Here is a 5140-nt window from a genome sequence, read left to right as displayed (position 1 = left end):
AATCAGAGACTCAAAAAAATGCAACCATTTACCTCTGATCTACCTATGACCTGGAAGCCCCCTCACCACTTCGAGTCTTCCCACATTTGCTTTGAGTTTTCCCGCCTTTCTAGACAGAATCAATGTTCATCTTGCATATGTTGATTGATGTCTCATGTCTCCCTAGAATGTATAAACCAAATTGTTCTCTGACCACCTTGGGTACATGTTGTCAGGACCTCCTGAGGCTATGTCATGGATGTGCATCCTCAACCTTGGCAAAATAAACTTCCTAATAAACTGTGACCTGTCTCTGATTTTGGGGATTCACAGTTTCTAAATCAAGCCATTTCTGCTTTAATACTTGGTGCTTCTGAAATAGCAGCAATTTGTCCTAGCTGAAATATAGTAATGAGATTTAAAACATTTTTTTAAAAGGAGCTCAGTTGTTAAAAGTCAGCTTAATTAAAGGCTAACATCCAAGATGAGTGTGTGTGTGTGTGTGTTTGTATTTAAAAGGTCTTCATGTTTTGTTTATATTTTCTCTTTTTGGACCTTGTCTTTTTCGGAGCAAAAGTTCTTTTTCTTCTCAGTTGACTTAATTCTGTTTTCTTCATTAATAACTATTGCAACAGAGGCTACTCTGGGGATTTTTAAGAAAGAGGGTACTTCAGACACTTAGAAATGTCTTTGTTTAAAAAAAATTTTTTTAAGTGCATTGTAAAAATATCACACAGTCTAATCTCAAAATAATTCTCCCATTTTGGAGATCCAGGATTCAGTGTGGGCTCTACCCAGAGCTCAGAGATCCAGTTAAAAGATAGGTAGTCTCCATCTAAATAAAATTGGTCTCCTTATACAATTATATGATAGATTTCTATAATTTTATGTTTGACTTGGCATCCATCTTTAATCTTTCTCCAGCACCACCAGACTTTTTCTCTGTGTACCTTATGATGTAAATTTTGCTATTTAATTTTCACTTGAGTTGTTTCCTTTAATATGCAAATTTAAGGCTATTTAGCTGACAACTGCCTAGGCTTCTGAAGCAGGTTATCAAGAATCTGAAAGCTTAAGATAGGAAGAAAAGTCTTTAGGAATCTATAAGGTGTACTTTCTATCAGCATACATCTATGTATTTATGTGTTGTGTACACAAAGATTCACTACTGAAAATATATAAAAGAACTCTAATTAAATGGCTTAAAGAAAAATAAAAGTGATTATATCAAATACTTTATCAAAAAACGAAAGACTATTCAAATGTACTTTCAAGTTTACATGACTTAAGTAAAATTTTTAATAAATCAGCTAGCTTTAAAATTATTGGTAAAGTAATATTATAAATGTATTAAGAATTGCTAGCATACAGTTTTGTTTGCAATTATTAAGGAATTTCATACTTATCCCTGCCAAATACTATAAGGTGTCAAAATTTGGCATAGTGGTTACAAAACTATAAACCTAGCCCAAGACAGAATAATCTTTGCTTGTATAATCTTTAATAAATAAAACATTCATATTAGTTTAATAAAAATAGAACTATAAACTAAATTCCTCCCAAAGTCCAGGAATCAACAAGGACAGGTTGGAGGTTAGAAGCAAGATGGAGTCACTTAGGTCATATTTTTTCCATTGTCTCAGTTAGAATTTTGCAGTGGTGAGCTTCAAACTTTAAATGATGACTATCACAGTTTTTATAAATAATCTAGATAAATGAATAAAATAAAATAATTAGATAAATGTAATGGAATACAGACAAATGTGTCAGAATTTAGAATCTGAAGTTATATTAAGTTAAATAATAAATATCTTATTATTTGGGTATTTTCCAATAAAAATATATTGTAGGAAAACATTCTTTTTTTAAAAATTTCCTTTTTAAAAAGGTGAACAATTTTTATCTAATTTAAAGCTTATTTAAAGGTTATGTATAAAACAAGGTAAAAGGAACCAGGAAATATGAGACATGTAAAGAAAGTTATAGAAACAAAGAGGTATCTTTGGTAAGAACACTTAAAGAGAAATAATTTTATATGAGAAAGAATCTTGTATGGTAAATTTAGACCTAGAATAAAATGACTAGTTGTTTTTCACAATAAAAGGATTCATAAAAAATAAAACAAAACAAAAACTTTTGGGGATTCAGCCCAGGTACTCGTGTGAGCTGCTGCTCCTGTGGTTCATGAGATCGCCTGGGTCTAGAGTGTGGAGCTCCTCCGTGACAGCGAGGACATCACCATGCCTAAAGCATCAAAGGGAAAAAGTGCAGGACCGGAAAAAAAAAAGTAACCCATCCATTTAGTAGAAAAGCAGCTCAAATTACGAGAGAGGCCCACAAACAAGAAAAACAGAAAATTGAAGAATGAAAAAGCCTTGTGTGAGGCTTTTTTCAACCTTATTTGTGAAAACCTGCAGTGGTTTCAAAATCATCTTGATCCCCCAAAAAAGGGATATTTAAAGAAAGATGCTTGTGAACTAATTGAAAGATATTAAAATCGATTCAGCAGTGAGCTGGAGCAGACTGAGTTACGTAACAGTATCAGGGACAGGCAGGGGAGGTGGCACTGTTCCCGGGAGACTGTCAATAAGCAGACGATGGAGCGGGAGTGAGAGCAGTATGAAGGATATGGTCTTGAGATTCCAGACATTCTAAATGCAAGTAACCTGTAAACGTTTAGGGAATGTGACTTTAATCTGAAGAAATTGCCAAACACTAACATAAGAAAAACTTGTGCTAATGATGCAATTCCCAAGAAGTGCAAGAGGAAAACTATTATAACTGTAGACCAAGATTTAGGGGAATTGGAACTTAACAATGAATCAAGTGACTCCGATGAGGAAATGACTGCAGTGGCATAATTGTCTTTGCTTGAATTAAAAATAAATAATTTAAGAGCTGCAAATTATATTCATTCATTATGGTATGTAATTGTCAAGATAAAATAATTTCATATTGACATTCATTTATATGATGAGAGTTTAATTTGTAGTTTCAAAAATGGTGTTATGATATTTATTTTAAAATGAAGGTTGCTTTTCATTAAGTTGCTAAAATAGATAGACATGATCTACAAAAGCTGTTTAATCTTTTTCGTCTGAATTTTGGGCCGGAAGGGAGCAATATAACTAAGGACAAAAAATGTTTTGTTTTTCTTGTGTATTTATGATCACCTAATTTCACATTTTGGGAAATGGACAGTAACCTGTTTCCTAAAAGATTCCTGTGGGTACTTTTTGAACTTTGATAATAGCAAAATTGTCTTTCAGTAATGTCACACTAATCCTTCTTTTAAGCATGAAATCCATTTTCCTTTTTTACAAAATAAGGGAAAATGTGATAAGAAATTTGTATACACTGGTGCATTATAGATTATTATTTATCATCTGAATGAGAGTTAAATGGTAAAAAAAAATCAGTGATGATTGTTATGTTGATCTTTCACAATTAATTTACCTTTTAACAAAGGGGATAAAGAGTTTCAGTTTACCTCCTTTTAATTGTATAATTTTTTTTGCTTTTTTATTGTGAAAAGTGATAGGTTTTATTTGTGGAGAGAGAACTAAAGATCAGAGAACCAGTGATTTTAATTATGTTACTTTTTCTTCTAAGAGATAAATTAAATTGACATATAATTCAGTATTTTCAGTATCATGAAAAGCATGAATGTTGTATAATTTTCTTCCTCAAAAAACTCGTTAAATGCAAGTATCCTTAACATGTTTTTAAAGGAGCACAATGCAGGTGTATTTGAGTATTTTCAAGAAAAGAATAAAAACATCAATACTGGATTAGGTTAACTGGGTGTCAACTAAGTCTTATTAACAGTTTACTTAAAGTATTATAACTTTTCTTTACTTCTGAAAATTACAAATAAAATTTATTTCTGCAAACAAAACCTTTTATATGATCCAGTTGTCTATAATTCAAGGGAAATAATAATGGTCTTTCTAGAGATTGGGTTTGATGTAAAGAAAAACTACTTATACACTAAAGAATTAATTAGAAAAATAAATTTCCTTAAGTTATTTATTTACTCTTAATAAATTTTAAGATATTTTAATTTTTTTACTGCAAAGTTCAACTTTTATTGCGTTTCACCAATTTTCATTTTCTTCTCCCTTCTTTTAAAAGGCACGAAATAATAGCGCTCTCCTTCAACTTATTTTCAGCTCATGTAAGATTTTTTCCCCTCAAGTTCTGTTTGTTGTGGCCTGAAGTTAACCATATTTTCTTAAAGATCTCAAGGAAATGTTTTCTTCCAACATAATATTCTGTACACGGCAAAAGGTCTTTTGTTTTGCCTTTTGGTAACTGGTCTAACAGATTTTACATTTTATCAAAATAATTCCTATGCCACTATTATTAAGTTTTGGTTTGCTTAGAAAAAAAGTGAGATTAAAATTTTTTTTAGGTTAGAGTTATTTTATTTTTGTGTGTTTCCTGTATGTGCTTTTTTTTTTTTTTTTTTTTTTTTGAGAAGGAGTCTCCCTCTGTCACCCAGGCTGGAATGCAATGGCACAATCTCAGCTCACTGCAACCTCTGCCTCCCAGTTTCAAGTGATTCTCCTGCCTCAACCTCCCAAGTAGCTGGGACTACAGGCACGGGCCACCACACCCAGCTAATTTTTGTATTTTTAGTACAGATGTAGTTTCACCATATTGGCCAGGCTGGTCTCAAACTCCTGACCTCATGGTCCACTCACCTCGGCTTCCCAAAGTGCAGGGATTACAGGCATGAGCCAACATGCCCAGCCTTCTATATGTGCTTTTAAAGTACTTGTGACATTAAGTTACAGGGCTTTGAATCCTGGGTCTAAAATTGGCACCAAGTACTGCTAACTCTTCAACACTGACAGCAATTAAAGACTCATCTTCAGGCCCCATAAAAGATGCCAATCAAAATAAACTGCATTTCTGAGACACAGGTTCAGAAATTAAAACTATTCAACTCCTCAAGTCCCAGGGACCATCATGGAAGAGGGGGGAATGTGAGATTGTAAGGGCTAATTTTGAGAGATAAAATAAGTTCAGTTTCTCCACAAATTAATCATTAATGTGAAAGAGACATGGATTCAAGATCAGCATATGGGTCCCTGTGTCACATAAATAGGGTTTTCTTGAAGCAGTAAGTGACTCATAAATAAAGGTTGTAAAGGTT

The 5140-nt window shown here is 32.7% G+C and overlaps 1 pseudogene; it reads left to right on the top strand.

The window, feature by feature from the left end:
• TMA16P1 (translation machinery associated 16 homolog pseudogene 1) lies at window positions 2119–3871 on the top strand (annotated as a pseudogene).

This window comes from Homo sapiens, chromosome 11 (assembly GCF_000001405.40).
Source record: "Homo sapiens chromosome 11, GRCh38.p14 Primary Assembly".
In the NCBI taxonomy this organism is placed as follows: Eukaryota; Metazoa; Chordata; class Mammalia; order Primates; family Hominidae; genus Homo; species Homo sapiens.
This window is presented reverse-complemented; position numbering and strand designations above follow the sequence as displayed.